We start from the raw sequence: 20717 nt of genomic DNA, 5'->3' as shown, positions 1-20717 counted from the left end.
AACATGGCGTCTACCCTTTTGCTATTTCATCGGGTTTTTATCTCCCAAATAATCAATTTTAATAATTTGCTTGGTCCTCGATAATCCTGAATTTACTCCCAGGACTATCAGGGAACAAGCAAGTTATTGCTGTGCTTAAAATTTTTGTTTTGTTTTGTTTCACTCTGTCGCCCAGGCTGGAGTGCAGTGACGCGATCTCGGCCCGCTGCAACCTCCGCCTTCTCCCTCAGCCTCCCAAGTAGCTGGGATTACAGGCACCCGCCACCACGCCCAGCTAATTTTTGTATTTCTGGTAGAGATGTTGGCCAGGCTGGTCTCAAACTCCTGGCCTCAATGGATCCGCCCACCTCGGCCTCCCAGAGTTGGGATTACAGGCATGAGCCACCGCACCCAGCCATCTGCTTTGAGATACAAAAAAGATGTTTCTGGCCTGGCGCGGTGGCTCACGCCTGTAATCCTAGCACTTTGGGAGGCCGAGGCAGGCGGATTGCCTGAGCTCAGGAATTCAAGACCAGCCTGGGCAACATGGTGAAACCCCATGTCTACTAAAATACAAAAGAAATTAGCTGGGCGTGGCGGCGTGCACCTGTAGTCCTAGCTACTCAGTAGGCTAAGGAAGGAGAATTGCTTGAACTCGGGAGGCAGAGGCTCATGCCACTGCATTCCAGCACTCCAGCCTGGATGACAGAGCAAGACTCTGTCTCTCAAAAAAAAAAAAAAAAAAAAAAAAAAGATGTTTCTTGTGCATCAACCTTTGAAGCTGTGTAACAGCAGCCTCAGCTCCTCATCTGTAAAATGGGGATAAATAATACCAACAGCCAGGTTATAAAGGGCTTAGCTCAATTTGCATACTTACTGAGCTACTATCATCAGCAACTCCCACCTATGCCTTTTTTCTGATGATCCCGACACTTTTCATAAGAACTGCATCATAGGCCGGGTGCGGTGGCTCATGTCTCTAATCCCAGCACTTTGGGAGGCCAAGGCGGGTGGATCACCTGAGGTCAGGAGTTCAAGACCAGCCTGGCCAACATGACAAAATCCCATCTCTACTAAAAATACAAAAATTAGCCGGGTGTGGTGGTGGGCACCGATAATCCCAGCTACTTGGGAGGCTGAGGCAGAAGAATCACTTGAACCCCAGGGGGCAGAGGTTGCAGTGAGCTGAGATCGTACCACTTCACTCCAGCCTGGGCAAAAGAGCAAAACTCTGAAAAAAGAAAAAGAAAGAAAGAAGGAAAGAAGGAAAAGAAAAGAAAGGAAAAGAAAGGAAAGGAAAGGAGAAAGAAAGAGAGAGATCGCATCATTGCCGGGCACAGTAGCTCATGTCTGTAATCCCAGCATTTTGGGAGGCCAAGGCAGGCAGATTACCTGAGGTTGGGAGTTCAAGACCAGCCTGACCAACATGCAGAAACCCCGTCTCTACTAAAAATACAAAATTATCCAGGCATGATGGCGCATGCCTGTAATCCCAGCTACTCAAGAGGCTGAGGGAGGAGAATTGCTTGAACCCAGGAGGTGGAGGTTGCAGGGAGCCAAGATTGTGCCATTGCACTCCAGCCTGGGCAACATGAGCAAAACTCCATCTCAAAAAAAAATAAAAAATAAAAAATAAAGAATCACATCATTGAGTCAGTTAACACATATTTATTAAACACTCTAATGGGTCAGCACTGTGCTAGGCACTAGGGATAAAATGATAGGCAAGAAAGACACAATCCCTACCCTTTGGGAGCCTCTGGACTAGTAAGGGAGACAGACAATGGTCAAATAACCACACAAAATGTAAAATTACTTCTGTGCCATGTGAGTGAAGCCATCTCAGACCCCCCAGACCAGTTCATCCTGCCGCTGAATACCACGGAGGATCTCAGTCATTGCTGTAATCAGCAGAAAAATTCCCAGCCAAGTCCTGCCTTCATCCCTGATCTGCAGAATCATGAGCTATAGGAAATCAGTGGCTCTTTTAAGCCTCTCCAAAGTAAAAATAATTGCATCTCTCTTAGGTGCCTAAAGCATTAAGAGGACAATTTTTAAAAAGAGGAAATAAACTGCATTTTAGTCCTTTTTTCTAGTTAGGAAACCAGGGCTGAGGTAGGTTTAGATATAAGAATGCAATGATTTGACCTGCTAAATCCTAAAGCCTAAAGTGAATTCCATCTGCCATCCTGCAGAAACATCCTGGCGGTTTCCTTCAAACCTTGTTTTGCTGAAGAGCGCCCTCTTCTGGCTCGGGACCCTTCTCCAGCCACGCTGCCTCCTGCGGCTGCAGCTTTTGGGATTGTAGGCTATGGCGTCCATTCCTCCACCAAACCTGTACTGAGCACTGAGGCCCTGACAATACAGCCGGAATCAGACACCGGCTCCCCCACCTGTGGGGCTGACAATCATTTGAACTGAGTCTCTGAGATTGCAGGGCAAGCACCGTGACTCTCATTTAACAAAGAAGGAACTGAGACAGGGAAGGTGGCTAAAACTTTGCTATGTTATTGATGATTTACCGCTGGATTTTAGGGCTTAGGGAGACAAAGAACCTTCCACTGAACATTAGATTGGGCCCACGTTTCTCACTCTCCAAAACCCACCCTGCCGGTCACCCTCGGTTCCAGACCTCAAGTCCCTTCCATCTTGGGAAGTCTCCTCATGACGCTCCAATGTGCCGTTCTTATTGTCACCTCCGCACTTCCCAAATACCTTTCCATGCCACCTGCCACTTCATCTCTGTAATGACTCTTCTCCAAAGCCCACCCTCAGCTTCCCTCTTCCCTAAGATCTTGTAGCGCCCACTGGAGGGTCCCCTGGTGTCCCTCATACTATGGACTGTAATATACATTTAGAAACAATGTATGGAAGCATTTGGAAAAATATACCTCTTTGTATATGCTGGCCATGGAGGGCAGAGAGTAGTTCCTATCTGACAGGGCTGTTCTTTAACTTAAATGATGAGTTTGAAGCACTTGGCACACAGTAAACACTCAGCACATGATACATATTGTTTAACATGTTCAGTGTGGTTACCTGCTTAAAAAACAGATGGTCCTCATAGCATCTAGTGTCATCTTGCACACATCATAAAGAGACAGAACCCTGCCACCGTGTGGAGAGCAGGGCTCACACAGGAGGTATCATGCCCGAGACCCAGGATATGTTTAGGAATACATAAACATGTTTTCATTTCTTTTGAAAATCAGAAGAAAAAAATTAACTTTTACATTGAAAAAAAGTTTTATTTTTTTTGTTTTGTTTTGGAGTAAGAGTCTCCCTCTATCCCCCAGGCTGGAGTGCAGTGGTGTGATGTCCTCGGCTCACTGCAGCCTCCTCCTCCCAAGTTCAAGCGATTCTCATGCCTCAGCCTTCTGAGGAGCTGGGATTATAGGCGCCCGCCACCACGCCCGGCTAATTTTTTGTATTTTTAGTAGAGACAGGGTTTCACCATGTTGGCCAGTCTGGTCTCAAACTCCTGACCTTAGGTGATCCACCCGCCTTGGCATCCCAAAGTGTTGGGATTATAGGCGTGAGCCACCATGCCCAGCCTGAAAAAAAGTTTTAATATATAATATTAATATATTTTTCTTTATACCAATGTAGTCATAAAATATAATTTTATAATTATATTAATTGTTAATCAATATAATTATTAATTAACTTGACTATTATCAAGTGATTTTTGACAAAAGTGCCAAGACCATTCAATGGGGAAAGGACAGTCTTTTCAACAAATGGTGCTGGGAAAACTGGATATCCACGTGTAAATGAAGTTGGACACTTGCCTAACACCATATGCAAAGATTAACTCAAAATGCATCAAAGACCCAAATGTAAGGCCTAAAGCTGTAAAACTCACCGAAGGAAACACAGGAGATAAGCTTCACAACATTAGATTTGGCAATGATTTTTCTGGATATGACACTTTTATTGCATAAGCAATAAAAGAAAAAATAGACAAATTAGACTTCATGAAAATTTTTAAATTTTGTGCAAGAAAAGACACTAGCAACAGAGTGAAAAAGCAACCCACAAGATGAGATAAAACATTTGCAAATCATATAGCTGATAAAGGATTAATATCCAGAATATATAAAGAACTCCTAAAACTCAACAACAAAAAAGCAAACAACCCAGTTCAAAAATGGCCAAAGGACTTGAATAGACATTTCTCCAAAGAAGATATATAAATGGCTAATAAATAAGCACAAAAGATGTTCGACATCACTAGACATTAGGGAAATGGAAATCAAAACTACAGTGAGATACCACCTCACACCCATTAGGATGGCTACTATTAAAAAAAAACACACAAGACCATGCACAGTGGCTCACGCCTGTAATCCCAGCACTTTGGGAGGCCAAGGTGGGTGGATCACCTGAGGTTGGGAGTTCGAGACCAGCCTGACCAACATGGAGAAACCCCATCTCTACTAAAAATACAAGATTAGCTGGGCGTGGTGGTGTATGCCTGCAATCCCAGCTACTCAGGAGGCTGAGGCAGGAGAATTGCTTGAACCCAGGAGGCAGAGGTTGCAGTGAGCTGAGATCACGCCATTGCACTCTAGCCTGGGCAACGAGAGCAAAACTCCGTCTCAAAAACAAAAAACGAAAACACCACACTCACACACACAGGCTAGGTGCAGTAGCTCATGCCTGTAATCCCAACACTTTGCAAGGCTGAGGCAAGAGGATTGCTTGAGCCCAGGAGTTTGAGACCAGCCAAAGCAACATAGTGAGACCCCATCTCTACAAAAAAAAAAATTAAATTACATTACATTAAAATTAGCCAGGTGTGGTGGTCCATGCCTATAGTCCCAGCTACTCGGGAGGCTGAAGTGGGAGCATCGCTTGAGCCCAGGAGATCAAGGCTACAGTGAGCCATGAGCATACCACTGCACTCCAGCCTGGGCAACAGAGCAAGACTCTCTAAAAAAAATACACACACACACACACACACACACACACACACACACAGAGAGAGAGAAAAAATTACAAACTTTGTCAAGGATGTAGAGAAATTGGAACTCTATGCACTGTTGGTGAGAATGTAAAATGGCACAGCTGCTGTGGAAAACAGTGTGGGGGTTTCTTTTAAAATTAAAAATAAAATTACCATATGACCCCAAAATTCTACCCTGCGTATATACCCCCAAAAACTGAAAGCTGATCTCAAAGAGATATTTGTACACCCATGTTCATAGCAGCATTATTCATAATAGCTAAAATGTAGAAGCAACCCAAATGTCCATCAATGATGAATGGATAAGCAAAACGTGGTGTATATGTATAATGGAATATTATTCAGCCTTAAAAAGGAAAGACATTCCAACACATACTGCAGCCTGAATGAAGCTTGAGGCCATTATACTACGTGATACAAGCCAGTCAGAAAAGGATACCCACTGTATGATTCCACTTATATAAAGTCCCTTAAAATCATAGCAACAGAAAGTAAAATGGTGGATGCCAGGGGCTGGGGAGAGGGAAGAATAAGAAATTACTGTTTAATGGGTACAGGGTTTCAGTTTTAGGAGACAGAGTTCTAGAGACAGACAGATGGTGGGATGGTGGTGACAGCTGCACGACATTGTGAATGTATTTAATACCACTGACCTGGACACTTAAAAATGGTTAAGATGGCAAATGTTGTGTGTATTTTACCACCATATATAAAAAATAGGAAGAAAAAAAAAAAAGGAGGCCTGGTCACAGTGGCTCACACCTGTAATCCCAGCACTTTGGGAAGCCGAGGAAGGCAGAGTGTTTAGCCCAGGAGCTGGAGACAAGGTTTTGTACGAAACCATGTCTGTACAAAAAAATACAAAAATTAGGCAGGCATGGTGGCACACACTTATAGTCGCAGCCACCAGGCCCGATCAGAAAATTTATTCTTTTTTTTTTCTTCTTCTTTTTTGAGACAGTGTTGCTTCGTCACCCAGGCTGGAGTGCAATGGCACCATCTCGGCTCACTGCAACCTCCGACTCCCAAGTTCAAGTGGTTCTCCTGCCTCAGCCTCTCGAGTAGCTGGAATTACAGGCACCCGCCACTACACCCGGTTAATTTTTGTATTTTTAGTAGAGACAGGGTTTCACCATGTTGGCCAGGCTGGTCTTGAACTCCTGACCTCGTGATCCGCCCGCCTCGGACTCCCAAAGTGTTGGGATTATAGGCGTAAGCCACGACACCCACCCCAATTTATTCTTAAGAATACACTCTGCAGGCCGGGCGCGGTGGCTCATGCCTGTAATCCCAGCACTTTGGGAGGCAGAGGCGAGTGGGTGGCCTGAGCTCAGGAATTCGAGACCAGTCTGGGCAACATGGCAAAACCCTGTCTCTACAAAAAATAAAATTAAATTAAAATGAAGAATAAATGTACTAATGCTATCGGAATCCGTATGCCCATTTGCTTTTAGAGAAGATCCTATTCCCCAAGAGTGTGATGTGTTTTACAATTCATGCACGGTGTCTTTATCCCCTCGGTCGAAGATTGTCATATCCTTTAGTGGTCAAGAGGGGGCGCAGCGACTCAACCTAAAGCGTGGAAATCCCAGTGGCCTGTAGATCACAGATGCCGAAATGTGAAAGCCTTGGTCCTGGAATTAGCATTATGGACTTCACCTGGGAGATTGTTAGAGACGCAGAATCTCGATCCTACCCCAGATCTGCCTCAGAATTTGCACGTTAAGAAGATCCCCGGTCGAAGGACAGGCACAGAGGCTCAGGTCTGTAATCCCAGCACTTTGGGAGGCCAAGGCGGGTGGATCAGGAATTCCTGCTGGTCAGGAGTTCGACACACAGCCTGGCCAACATGGTGAAACCTCGTCTCTACTAAAAACACAAAAATTAGCCGGACGTGCTGGTGAGTGCCTGTACTCCCAGATACTTGGGAGGCTGAGGCAGGAGAATGGCTTGAACCCGGGAGGCGGAGGTGGCAGTGAGCCGAGATCACGCCACTGCACTCCAGCCTGGGCGACAGAGTGAGACTTGGTCTCAAAATAAAAAATAAAAATAAAAAAAAGAAGATCCCCGGGGTAATTTATAGACACATTAAAATTTGAGAAGTACTGGTTGAAAGTGTCTAGTCATAGAAAGGGAAGCTTCTTCCTCAAAGGAAAAGAGGGTAGGAAAGGAGCTGGCTAAGGCCTCCCTTGAAGCCCCCAAATGTCCTGTTCCTTCGACCAAGCAACCAACATCAATCAAGATGGAATTGGAGCCACAGGAGAGGGTGTAAAAGCATTTCATTGGTCATAAATGCATAGGCTTGGCCGGGCGCAGTGGTTCACGACTGTAATCTCAGCACTTTGGGAGGCCGAGACAGGCAGATCACTTGTGGTCAGAAGTTCGAGACCAGCCTGGGCAACATGGTGAAACCCCATCTCTACGAAAAATACAAAAATTAGCCAGATGTGGTAGCACGCACTTGTAATACCAGCTACTCAGGAGGCTGAGGCAGGAGAATCACTTGAACCAGGGAAGTGGAGGTTGCAGTGAGCCGAGATGGCACCACTGCACTCCAGCCTGGGGGACAAAGCAAGACTCCGTCTCAAAAAAAAAAAAAAAAGGCATAGGCTTTTTCCATTTCAATAAATGCTTATTGATTGCTTACTGTGTGCTGGGCATCAGGGATACAATTGTGAGCAAAAATCAGACCCTGTTCCTGCCCTCATGGAGCTTTCAGCCTAGTGGGGACACCAAGTGTGTGTAATCCCATAATCACACATAACTACAAACCTTGTCCTTGCTCTGCAGGTTCAGAGAGAGGGCCATGACAGAGTAAAGGGAAAGGGAGTGGGGATGAGGGGCTGCTTTATATGGAATGTTCAGAGAAATCCTCAGAAGAAGTCATCTTTTTGTTTTGTTTTGTTTTCAGAGTTGAGGTGTCACTTTGTCATCCAGGCTGGAGTAAAGTGGTGCCATCATGACTCATTGCAGCCTCCACCTCCAAGCCTCAAGCGATCCTCCCACCTCAGCCTCCCAGCTAGCTGGGACCACAGGTATGCACCACCACGCCTGGATAATTTTGTTTATCTTTTGTAGAGATGAGGTCTCACTGTGTTGCCCAGGCTGGTCTTGAACTCCTGAGCTCAAATGACCCTCCTGTCTCGGCCTCCAAAGTGCTGGGATTACAGGCATGAGCCACCAGGCCTGACCAGGAAGTGAGCTTTAAGCTAGAGATCTGAAGGATGTGTGGGAGTTAGCCAGGAAAGAGTAGAGTTCCTGTGCGGGGGGTGGCGGGGGAGGGGACAGAATGTACAAAGGTCACGCAACAGAGAGGAACATGCTTACTCAAGGAACTGAGAGAAGACAGGCATGGAGTGATGCAAGATGAGGCTGAGACAGAGGAGGGCAGGAAGGGGCAGCTCGATGGGGCCAGGGACCAGAGGACACAGGCTCACCCAGACCTGATTGAGGTAGCCCCCCAGTTCCCAAAGTGACTACTGCATGGTTCTGCCTCCCGGGGGCCCTGCACCAAATGGCCCATGTGGACATCTCACCTCTGTCCTTCCAGTTCCCATTCTCTTCCTATCCTCCCCTGCTCTCCCCGCTACTAATCCTTTCTTTACCTCGTCACCATCAGCTCCTCTATTGCTTATCCTCTTCTCGCTTGCCCTCCCCAGCATCTTCCTCATTCACCCTTTTTTTTTTTTTTTAAGGCAAGGTTTCACTCTGTTGCCCCCAGGTTGGAGTACAGTGGCATGATTGTGGCTCACTGCAGCCTCAAACTCCCAGGCTTAGTTGATCCTCCCAAGTAGCTGGGACTACAGGTGCATGCCACCATGCTGAGCTAATTTTTTTTGTATTTTCTGTAAAGATGGGGTTTCACCATGTTGCCTAGGCTGGTCTTGAACTGCTAAACTCAAGCGATCCACCAGCCTCGGTCTCCCAAAGTACTAGAATTACCAGCATGAGCCACTGCACCCAGCCTCATTTACCATCTCCACCTGCTCCCAACTTTTCCAGGAAATCGAACGTCAGTCTCCAAGCCTATCTTCCCCTGAAAAGAAGATAATCTTTAAGTCAGACACAACCAGCATTCATTGAGAGCTCACCATGTGCTGGGCCCGGCATCACTTTCCACATTTTTTTCATTTAACCCTCACAGCAATCTTATCCAATAGCTACTATCATTCCAGTTTTACACTTGAGGAAATCGAAGTGTAGAGACAGTAAGTAGTTTTCTCAAGATTACGCAGCTAGAAACTGGTTGAACCAATACTACCCTCCTGTGTGATAACAGGGACTGCACATTGTCCTGTTTGACAGCGTACTAACTGCACGACTACATTTCGAAAGCCTTAAAAATGTGCACACCCTTTGGCCCATTTCTGAAAAAGTCAACTTAGATGTGTACAGAGGTCCCTGCAGCATTTCTACAATAGCACAGAATTTGGAAACAACCCAAAGGTTCAACAATATAGGGTTGGTTAAATTGTGGGTCATTTAGAACTAGAAACCTATATAACCTTTTTTTTTTTTTTTTTTTTTTTGAGACAGAGTCTCGCACTGTCGCCCAGGCTGGAGTGCAATGACACGATCTTGGCTCACTGCAACCTCCGCCTCCCAGGTTCAAGCAATTCTCCTGCCTCAGCCTCCCAAGTAGCTAGGCTTACAGGCGCGTGCCACCACGCCGGGCTAATTTTTTGTATTTTTAGTAGAGACAGGGTTTCACGGTTGGCCAGGCTGGTCGCGAACTCCTGACCTCATGATCCACCCACCTGGGCCTCCCAAAGTGCTGGGATTATAGGCATGACCCACCACGCCCAGTCTCATGACTATTAAAGTGATCATGTAAAAAAAATTTGATGTCCATGAACTACCATGTAGAAGAAGCAAAATGACAATACTTGTAATTACAAGTATTACAGCATGGTCCTGTTTTTGCAAAAACTACAGTATGTGAATTGAAGTAGAAAACTAACATGCAGAGAGGATCCTTGCGGCCAGGAGTTTGACACCAGCCTGGCCAACATAGTGAGACCCCCCACACACACACCATCTCTATAAAAAATAAAAAATTAGCCCAGAGTGGTGGCATGTGCTTCTAGTCTCAGCTACTCAGGAGGCTGAAGTAGGAGGGTCACTTGAGCCCAGGAGTTGAAGGCTGCAGTGAGCTAGGACCGTGCCACTGCACTACTCCAGCCTGGGTGACAGAGCAATATTCTGTCCAAAAAATAAATAAAAAATGAAACTAGTGTGTGTATTGGAAAGGTAGAATTAAAAATGTTGACAGTGGTTATTCCTGTGATGGGATTACAGTCAATTTTTATTTTCTTTATTTTTTGATGATCTGAATTTTCAAAGGTTTCTACCAGGAGCATGTATTTCTTTTGGGAAAAGTTTTTTTTAAAAAGTGAGGAGGTGTTGGAAACTTCCCATTTATTATGTTGTCATCTATTTTAAAAACAAACATACTACTTTGCTGAGAACGTTTTGAAAATATTTTTTTCCTATTACAAAAGCAATATGTGCTTGCCAAAAAAGGCAATCAGAAAGTACAGACAAGCAAAAAGAAGAAAATAAAAACACATTCCCTCCTACCCAGGAACAGCCAATATTAGCACCTTCATGACTCTTCATAAGCTATGTTGTTTTTTTTTTTTCAAGAGATGGTGTCTCACTATGTTGACCAGGTTGGTCTTGAATTCCTGGCCTCAAGTGATCCTCCCACCTCAGCCTCCCACAGTGCTGGGATGAGCCACCACGCCTGCCATGTTTTTTTTAAAGATAGCTCAACCTTCAATTTCTGCTCCAGGAGCTATTAAGGGCCCACCCTGTTGCCATTACTGGAAATATGAGTTTAGAAGGAGGTTTGCAGAGTCCTCTGTGATCCCCAGTTCCTAAGATGGTTTTGCCAGGTCTCAGGCTGTGTTTGAGGCCCCCAAATCACAGCTAGTGGTAAGCGTGGTAGACACCCTGGCCCTGGCCTGTTTCGGAGCACAAAACTCCTCATGTGTCATGGGGGCCCGGAGCTGTCAAGTACGAGGACCTTAAGAGTAATTCCTCACACGTTTAGGATTGCGACACCCTATCATTGTTTGATGTTGCAACCCTCCTTCCCCTTTACTGAAGGAATACATGCAGCATTTGCATATTTCGTTGGGTACTTTTCCACACGAGTTGAAGGGAATTAAGATTAATTTGGCTGCAAGACTACCAAAACCCTCCTTCCCCCACTCCTCGGATAATTGCAGGCAATCAGTCAGGGGTGTCTTCAGTTGGAGTGAAGGATGGCAGCTTTGAGGAGCCGTGAAGGCAGGTTCTGCCATGAGGAAGGCCACCCCAGGCCTGGGAGTACACCTACCAAGGCCAGATATCCCTGGGCCATTCTGACACTCCCCCGCACCCCACGCACACACAACAAGAGGTTTCCAAGGCCCACCCACACCCTCTCTACTAAAATCTCCCCTCCTGGGAAGGAGAGCCGGAGAGGCCTCCAGCTCCTGGCATCCAGCCCCAGTGGGTCCACGCCCTCAGCACAGCCCTGGAGCAGAAAATGTTCTTAGAGCTGATGTGCAAGTCACACCGTTTCTGCTTCCTCAAATGGGGTGATATTTACTCCTGGCGCAGACCCAGGCCCACCCTCCCACCAAGCTCCACAAGTTGAGCTGGTCTCATTGCTATCTGATATGTTCAGTCTTTCTGGAAACTTCAATGACCTTGGAAACTCTATTTTCCTTTACATGTGGCTGCTCTTGTCCACAATAATAACTATAGCTTCTGTTTATTACACTCCTTCTGTGCCAGGCACATTACAAACATGCAATACCCACAACAGTCTTTTGAAGTAGACACAATTATTCCCATTTCACAGATAAGAACACTGAGGTTCCGAGAAGTTATCTGTGCAAAGTCACACAACTACCGACAAAGATAGGAGTCAACCCAGACCTGCCTGACCCCAAAGCTTATGCACTGCCCTGAAAGGTCACTGCTCGAGGGAACCAAGAGAACATATAATCAATCCCCATTCCAATGACAAGACAGCTAAGCTGGAAAATTCATTTACAAACAGTTACATGGTACTTACGAGGTGCAAGGTGTTGCTTTAGCACTTTACAAATACCAGCTAATTCACCCTCATTGTATCACTATGAGATAGGTACTTTTTTTTTTTTTTTTTTTTTTGGAGACGGAGTCTTGCTCAGTCACCCAGGCTGGACTGCAGTGGTGCGATCTTGGCTCACTGCAACCTCTGCCTCCTGAGTTCAAGCGATTTTTCCTGCCTCAGTCTCCAGAGTAGCTGGGACTACAGGCGCGTGCCACCACACCTTGCTAATTTTTGTATTTATAGTAGAGATGGGTTTTCACCATGTTGTCCAGGCTCGTCTCAAGCTCCTGACCGCTGGTGATCCGCCCACCTTGGCCCCCCAAAGTGCTGGGATTACAGGCAGGAGCCACCATGCCCGGCCTTTTTTTACAGAGGAGAAAACTGAGGCACAGAGAGAAGAGTAAACTTGCCCAGGGACATACAGCAAGTGGTAGAGTCTGGATATGAAGCTAACTCTAGGGCCCGTGCTGCGTCTTCTATCCCAGAAGCAGAGACCCACCTCTCCTAAGTCATTGTCCTTTGACCTGTCTACAGCACCGCCACCTTCCTCATCTTTCTGAGAGTCCACTTCAAATTTCAGACTTCCTCATCCCACTCTGGGTGATGTTAGTGTTCTCTTGTGAAATTGCTTTGTGAAATGACTTACTGTGCAAGGCCATATTTGATTAGATCACTATCCAGAGTCCCTAAAGAACTAAGAGTTCTGCAAGGTTTATTGAAGCAAAACCTCAGTTGTTTCTGTGGAAGCTAATCAATTAATTAATAAACAGGGGCTTATTGAGAGCAGTTTGTGTCCCCAGCCCTGTGCTGGGCACCCTGGGGTCTGTGAACACAAAAGATGCACAGACTTGGACCCCAATAAAGAAATACAGTATATAAGTGCACACTGTGTGCTGAGCCTGTGTACAGCCATATTTCAAAAGACATATAGGATGGCTGGGCGCGGTGGCTCATGCCTGTAATCCCAGCACTTTGGGAGGCCAAGGCGGGTGGATCACTTGAGGTTAGGAGTTCGAGACCAGCCTGACAAACATGATGAAACCCCGTCTCTACTAAAAATACAAAAAATCAGCCAGGCATGGTGGCGGGTGGCTGTAATCCCAGCTACTCGGGAGGCTGAGGCAGAACTGCTTGAACCCCAGAGGCGGAGGTTGCAGTGAGCGGAGATTGCGACACTGCACTCCAGCCTGGGTGACACAGTGAGACTCCAGCTCAAAAATAAAAAATAAAAAAGACGCATAGGAGAGGAAAGTCAGAAGTCAGGAAAAGTTTTTAGGCAAGGGGTGGAATTTGAAATAGGCTTTTTTTTTTTTTTTTTTGAGATGGAGTCTCACTCTGTCACCCAGGCTGGAGTGCAGTGGCCTGATATCAGCTCACTGTAACCTCCGTCTCTCGGGTTCAAGTGATTCTCCTGCCTCAGCCTCCCGAGTAGCTGGGATTACAGGCGTGTGCTACCATGTCCAGCTAATTTTTGTATTTTTAGTAGAGACAGGGTTTCACCATTTTGGCCAGGCTGGTCTCAAACTCTTGACCTCAAGTGATCCGTCTGTCTCGGCCTCCCAAAGTGCTGGGATTACAGGCGTGAGCCACCGCGCCTGGCCTGAATTAGGCTTTGAAAGAAGGGACAGGGTTCCGATAGCAGGAAGAGAAAGAGCAGATTTCGCAGCAGAAGCAACAGGCATGTTTTCTGCATCCAAATCGGCCAGATCCTCAGAAAGAAACGAAAGAGAGAAAAGGCTAGAATGGTTCGTGTGTTTTGGTTTGGCTTGGGTTTTTTTTCTGTCAAGTTTTGCTATTTCCACCAAAGTGAATACAGAAAAACTCCCTTGCTGGCAGCACCGCGACGAGGCTTCTGGATTGGAGAAGGGCGCGCTGCCTCACATGTGCACTAGGGGGCAGAGCTGCCGCGGGGCTGCTGTAACTCCAAGAACAACCAGAGGGCAAGGGGAAGGATCCCAGCCCCTTCCTCAAATCAGGCGGCTGCAGGACGGGAGGGCAGTTGGAAAGCAGTCGTCTTCTTAGTCCGAGTTGCCTTCATATTCAGCCTAGAAGTTAGGGAAGAAACAGCGTGTAAGAGGAAGTTGGGTGAGACTGAAAGGGGAAAGAGAAAGAGAGAAGCATTGAAGAGGCACTCTTCCCCACCCCCAGCAAGGAACCCTCCATGTGCCATGAAAAGACTTCCAAACAGCAGAAAAGGGTTAGGGCTACTCCTGCCTCCTGCTGTAATCTTGGCTGAGAAAAGTTTAATGCAAGGCTTGGGTAACTATGAAAAGTGACCAACTGCTAGACTAAGACTGGTTTCAGAACAGCCGACTCCTGTTCCCTGGACAGGGGTGACCATTCCAGCTGCTCTAAGGAGGAATGCTTGAGGCTTTAGGAAGTACACAATTCTTGGCCATCCCCCCCAGGCCCTGGTGTCATGGTGTGGGCTGCGTGTGGCAGCAGACGTGACAATGGCGTTCTTTAAGAGCCCTGAAGTCAATATTTAGCCTAAATGTACAACCCACCAGCTGAGCCAGGCAACAGGGTTCTGAAGCACAGGAAATTAGAAGCACCTAGGCGATGTGGAACACTATTTGAAGCTAGATATCCTGACTTTTATCAGTTTCTAACTAGCTGTGCAAGTTTGGATGGTCGAACCAACTTCTCTGAGCTTTAATTTCCCTGTTGGCGAAATAGGTTAAATTAGATTAAAAGTCTCCGATGTGACTTCCAGCTCTGAAACTCTGGAAAACACACACTCCTTCAGCCAGAGGAACTGGGGAATCTAGGGGGCAGGGATGGGGGTGGGAGGATGGTGACAGGCGTCTTGAAGGATTAACCCCACGCTTCTCCTCGCAATTGCAATCGGCTCCCCAGCAGCGGCCACTGCGGCACTGCCTGCCCCACCCCCGCCCTCTGGGCCCGGCGGTACACACCCACGGCTCCCTCAGAGACTTCTGGAATCTCGCTGGATTTCTCCCAGGAATGCTTATTGCCCTTTAGATCTGCAAATCGCTTTACATCAGCAACCCTGCCGCGCGATTATTAATCATCTCAATATTCTCCCCCATCCCCTACCCTCCCCCTCGCCCGGCCTGGAAGAGGAATTGCAGGGGTCCGGATTTATGAAGGTGATTCGTATTATTCATTCAATAATCAGTTAACTAAAGTTCATTAAGCGCCTAATAGGAGCAAGGTGCAGAGACACACAAATCCAATCACCACAGGGGGCAGAACTGTAGGGGGTCGATGCTCAAAGAACTTCACTGATATTCCAGTTATGTCCTGGGGAGGGGGTGGTTAGAGGGTGATGGAAAAGCTCCCCTCACAAGCCTGATGACAGTGCTGCAACCATTATGGACCACCCCCACGGTTCGTTTTATCATGCCAGGAAAAGGAAAATGGCCTTCCCAAGGTCACTTATCCCCCGAGGGGCAACACTGACCCCAGAACCGCCGTCTTCAAAGCTTTCCACTGTGCCATGAAGGAAAATTTTGAGTTGAAGCCTATAAAATACAGCGTTGGGCGAGAGATGGCATGATTTCCGGGCACAGAGTGAGAAAATCGTGATCCCAGATCACCCACCCACAACAAACGAGACCGCCCCAAATCTTGACTGCAGCTACAACCAGCAGACGCACAGGAATGCTGGAAACAGCTCATTCATCCATCGCGGCGCCCTCTCTCTGGGCCCCCAGCGCCCCTGCCCTTGCCTCCGCCTGGGTGGGTCCCGGGACAGGAGGCGGGGGTCTCGTGGCTCGGAGCCTTCGCCCAGCATTCCAGGGGCGGGGCAGGGACCGGGGGCGGGGCGCGGCGGGAGTCCCGCCCACAGCCTACCCCGGGCCGGCGGCGCAGTGGCTGAGCCAAATATGGGCAGAGCGGAAGCGGCGGGCCGGCGTCACGGCGCCGGGTGGGGGCCGCGCTGCGGGGCGGTGACGGGAGTCGCTGACGGCGCCTACGTGTCACCGTGGAAACCAAACAGTAAACAGAGGACTCGCGAGCTCCTGGCACCGTCTGGCCCTGCGACCTGCCCTGGAGCAAAGGGCCGGAAGCTGGGAAGGGCCAGGAGAAACCTTGGCCTGGCCGACGAGGACAGGGGCGCGGCAAGGGTGTAGAGAGGGCGGTGGAGGGGACGCTGAGAGAGCACTCCCAAACGTCCCTCCCTGAGGTCCCTGGAAGCCGGCTCTCCCTCTGCCCACGGGCCAGCAGGGGCTGGTCAGGAGCGGAAGGAGGCCCTCCTGTCCCTTCTTTTTCTTTTCCTTTGTTTTTTTTTTTTTTTTTTTTTTTTTTTTTGAGATGGAGTCACGCTCTATCGCCCAGGCTGGAGTGCACTGGCGCGATCTCTGCTCACTGCAACCTCTGCCTCCCGGTTCAAGCGATTCTCCCGCCCCAGGCTCCCAAGTAGCTGGAACTACAGGCGCGCGCCACCGTACCCGGCTAATTTTTTACATTTTTAGTAGAGACAGGATTTCACCACGTTGGCCAGGTTGGTCTCCAACTCCTGACCTCAGGTGATCCGCCCGCCTCGGCCTCCCAAAGTGCTGGGATTACCGCGCCCGGCCTCTCCTGTCCCTTCTGAGGGCCTCCGTGCCTGCAAGGTTGTTGCGGATACTGATTTTGCTTTGTTTTTCCTTTCTAATGGCTAAGAGTTCAGGCATTGAAGCCACACTGCCTGGACTCTAATTCCAGCGCTGCCACTCCAGTTGGATGATCTTGAGCAGACCTCTGCGCCCCAGACTATATTATTATCTACAAAAATAAGGATAATAGCAGGACCTACCTTTAAGAGTAGATGAGGACTTTTAAAATGAGTGTGTGTGTGTGTGTGTGTGTGTGTGTGTGTGTGTGTGTTTGGAACAGTGTCAAGCATGTTGTGAGCCCCAAGTTAGTGTTAAGTGTTTATTTTTATTCCCAGGCAGCACAAGAGAAACTTACGTAGTATTAGTAGTGCATCTCCTAAATCTACTACTGACGTAATGTTTTTTTTCTCGAGTCTTCTTTAGATTTAAAATAAAAGGGGGCCGGGCGCTGTGGCCCACGCCTGTAATCCCAGCACTTTGGGAGGCCAAGGCAGGAGGATCACTTGAACCTAGGAGTTCTAGACCAGCCTGGGCAACATAAGGAGACCCCGACTCTACAAAAATAAAAAAAAATAGCTGGGCATGGTGGTGCACACCTGTGATCCCAGCTACTTGGGAGGCTGAGGTGGGAAGATCTTGGGCCAGGGCAGTCAAGGCTGCAGTGAGCCTTGATTGCAGTCACTGCACTCCAGCCTGAGTGACAGGGAGACCCTCTCTCAAAAATAAATAAGCAAAAGGAATTATCTATTTTAAAGATAATATTCAAATCTAGTAAAAATATTTAGTTATTAACTAAAATGTGCATTTGTCAAATAAAAACATGGCAAAACACTGTATCACACTGCTTCGCAATTTTAAATTTTAAACACGAAAACTCCAAATGGTTACATGGAACAGAAGCAACTCAAATTCAGTCTTCACAGTCATTGTGTTATCTCTGTTTTTTAAGTAATTTTTTAAAATGAAGCGTACATATTACATTATTCAAACTCAATAGTAATCCCAGCAACTGTTTAGGACTTAAAACAACCAAAGATTTTTTCAGGAAGAAGTACTTTGTCACTGACAACATTAGAATTGCCAGCTCATAGTGTTTATTTAAAAGGCAGACTGCCCAAAGACCTGAAAGGCCCAGAGGTGTTCTAGGTCCCGACGCGGCTGCTGGAAGCCACCTTTGGTGAGTGTGCCCAGTGCTGGCCTGGGTGCCCTACCTGGGAGCTCTCATCCCCTTCCCCCAGCAGGCCCGTATGGATAATCCCTTACATCGAGCAGATGAGCAAGGCCATGCTCCAGCTGAAGGCTCTGGAGTCTTCAGACCTCACCGAGGTCGTGGTTTACAGCTCCTATTGGTACAAGCTCCAAACCAAGTGGATGCTCCAGTCCATGGCTGAGTGGCACTGCCAGCACCAGGAGCAAGGGATGCTCAAACTTGCAGAAGCCATGAATGCCCTCAAACTAGACCCTTGGATGAAGCGAACCAGCTTCCGGCCAATGTGATGGAGGCCAGGATGTAGAGATTAGGTTGTGGCCAGAGCCGGAGTGGTTCCAGCTTGGTTTAAACTCTGCTCCAGCCTGATGAATTAAGGAAAAACCATCTCTTTGGGGATCTCTGCCCTTGCTCTGAGTCCTGTTGTGAATATCTTTTTTGAAGGTTGCCAATTAAAGAAGAAAGTTTTGGGGTTTTCTCATTTTTCTTTATTAAGAATAAAGTTTTAAATAAGGGAAAATTTTTAAAAGGCAGACCAACTTTTTTTGGTTTTATTATTCGTTTGAAATTCTAAGCAGATAATGTGATCCCTTGTGGATAACAAATCCTAGAGTGACCCACAGTGATTCCTGCTTCCTGATGTCCATGCCTTTGTGTAATTCCCTCCATCTGAGTGCAGGTGGAACCTGAGACTTGCCTCTTAGCAATAGAAAATGCAAAGGTGATGGGATGTCACTCCCGTAATTTTATGTCTGTGTATGGCCCCATCTTGCTGGCATGCACTGGAGAGGTTCTTGTCGCAGGCTTGATGAAGTGAGCAGCTGTGTTGAAGAAGTTTACAAGGCAGCCTCTAGAACCGAAGGGTAGCCTCAGCCAACAGCCAGCAAAATGCCAGAGTTCTTAGTTATACAGCCACAAGGAAATACAGTCTGTGAACAACCTGAGTGAGCTTGGAGGTGGACTCTTCCCCACTCAAACATCCAGCTGAAAACACAGCTCAGCTGACACCTTGATTGCAGCCTCGCGAGACCTTGAACACAACACTGTTCTGTTCAGAAGATGGATGGAGTTTGCTAGATAAGCAACTGGCTATACCTGGACTCCTGATGTTCAGAAACTGTGAGATAATAAATGTGTGTTGCTTTAAGCTGCTAAGTTTGTGGTAAATTGTTATACAGAAATAGAACCAAATACATTCTCATTGCCTATCCCTAGAACAGACTGCTCCCACCTCCCCATGCTTGGTACACTTCTGTGGCTCTGTACACACTGCTCAGGCCTCCCATCTTAAAAAGGTTCCGTGAGAGGATTACAAGGAGTGTCAACTGCAGAGCATGCCCCAGTGTTGCTACTAGAACATCAAGCATCTAAGAATGATGTGGTGCGGGCACTTTAGGGCATTTTCGTAGCAGTCTCCTGATGTCATCAGAGTTTTGAAGATGGAAAGGGAGCTTAGAGATTTTTGAATCCCACCCCTAATCTGGCATAGGAAATAGTCTCAGAGGGGTTGAAATCTCACCCCAGGTCACATAAGCACATCTTTAAGAGCAGATGTTCACATTCTAGCAATGCAGTTAAGCACTTTGGGTTTTAGAGTCACAAAGAGCTGGATTCAAATCTTAGATCTGCTACTTACCAGTTGTGTGACCTTGGTCAGCTTATTTAACCTTTCCTAAATTGTTTTCCTTATCTGTAAAATGACACTAATCATATCTGCCTCATAGGATTGTTGTGAGGACTAAATGAGAGCATTTATTAAACAAAATAATTATTGTATGCCCATTACGTGCCAGTTGCTAGAGGTACAATGATTAGCAAACCAAAGTCATTGATTTAGCATGGCCTATAAAGTGCATAGCACAACCTGGCACAGAGCAAGCACATGTGAAATACTGGGCATTATCAATATTTTCTCTTAAGGCTCCAGGTTCTATCCCAACCATTTGCCTCCAGACAAGCTCTATAAACTCATATCATAGAACCTCTGCTGTGGTTCCAACTGCCCACATCTCCCCATAGATACTCCCCAGGCATTGCAAACTCAACATGTCCAACATAGAATTTACCTTTTTAACCCCCAAACCTGTTCCTCTTCCTATAGTCACAAAGCCATTGGTGGAAACACAAGCCTCCCGTGTTTCAAGCCTGGTAAACCTGACGGTGAGCTTGGGTTCCTCCCTCTCCCTCACCTCCACCACCTACTCAATCACCAGGTCCTGACCCCCTAATTACCTCTTGTTCCCTCTCCATTCCCACCACCACTGCCTTGGTTCAGCCTACACATAACTGAGCTAAGTAAGCACCAGGCTTTTCATGATCTGGTCACAGTGATCTCTTCTTGGCTGATCTTCAGCCCCATCTATTTGATGATGCAATATTGATATAAGTGAAATTAAATGCACTTGCGTGATGTTCTGTAATTTACATCTCCTCCTCATCATCTCCCCCTCACTGCCCCCTCACACACTTTGTAGTTGAGCAAAACCAAATTCAGTGTTTTATGAGTCTGTGCCCTTGCAGTGCTAATCCTCAGCCCAGAAGCTCTCTACCCTGCCACTTGCTCATCTAGCAAGCTCCATACACCTTCGAAGCCTAGCTGAAAGGTCACCTTCCTCAGAGACTCCCCCAGAGAGAGTTTGTCACTACCTCTTCCATGTAACTCCTGAACCTGGTGTTAATTTCCATTGTTACAGTGTATTATAAGGTTTGTGTTTACCTGTCTTTCTCCCTTACTTGAGCTCTTTGAGGACAGGATTGTCTCTTCCTCACACTGAATTCAATACCTGATACATAGCAGACACCCAGAAACTTTTTATTAAATGAAATGAAGCCCATACATGTTCCCCTGACCCCCATCTCCCTAAACTATAAAGATAATAAAAGCAGCTAACATTTCTTCTTTTTTTTATT

At 47.0% G+C, this 20717-nt stretch overlaps 1 long non-coding RNA gene and 1 pseudogene across 1 annotated transcript, besides 3 other annotated features; one reads left to right on the top strand and one right to left on the bottom strand.

Annotated features, from left to right (window-relative positions):
* Positions 5815–5984: an enhancer, noted in NCBI's record as "experimental_36717 CRE fragment used in MPRA reporter constructs". NCBI's record gives its function as "activates a minimal promoter by MPRAs in K562 erythroleukemia cells, with activity observed for both the introgressed and non-introgressed 14:75771007 variant alleles {active_cell/tissue: K562}" and the evidence as "EXISTENCE:reporter gene assay evidence [ECO:0000049][PMID:34662402]".
* LINC01220 (long intergenic non-protein coding RNA 1220) lies at positions 13793–15799 on the bottom strand. The gene is made up of 3 exons (NR_038421.1): positions 15662–15799; positions 15466–15526; positions 13793–14083 (listed from the first exon to the last, which is right to left on the bottom strand). It is a non-coding gene; the product is annotated as a long intergenic non-protein coding RNA 1220 (long non-coding RNA).
* Positions 15562–16021: a silencer, noted in NCBI's record as "silent region_5944". NCBI's record gives its function as "represses an Ori minimal core promoter by ATAC-STARR-seq in GM12878 lymphoblastoid cells {active_cell/tissue: GM12878}" and the evidence as "EXISTENCE:reporter gene assay evidence [ECO:0000049][PMID:35858748]".
* Positions 16092–16231: an enhancer, noted in NCBI's record as "active region_8743". NCBI's record gives its function as "activates an Ori minimal core promoter by ATAC-STARR-seq in GM12878 lymphoblastoid cells {active_cell/tissue: GM12878}" and the evidence as "EXISTENCE:reporter gene assay evidence [ECO:0000049][PMID:35858748]".
* Positions 17742–18321, top strand: DPPA5P4 (developmental pluripotency associated 5 pseudogene 4; annotated as a pseudogene).

Source organism: Homo sapiens, chromosome 14 (assembly GCF_000001405.40).
Source record: "Homo sapiens chromosome 14, GRCh38.p14 Primary Assembly".
Lineage (NCBI taxonomy): Eukaryota > Metazoa > Chordata > Mammalia > Primates > Hominidae > Homo > Homo sapiens.
Note: the sequence above shows the minus strand (reverse complement) of the source record. Positions and strands in the feature narration are given on the sequence as shown.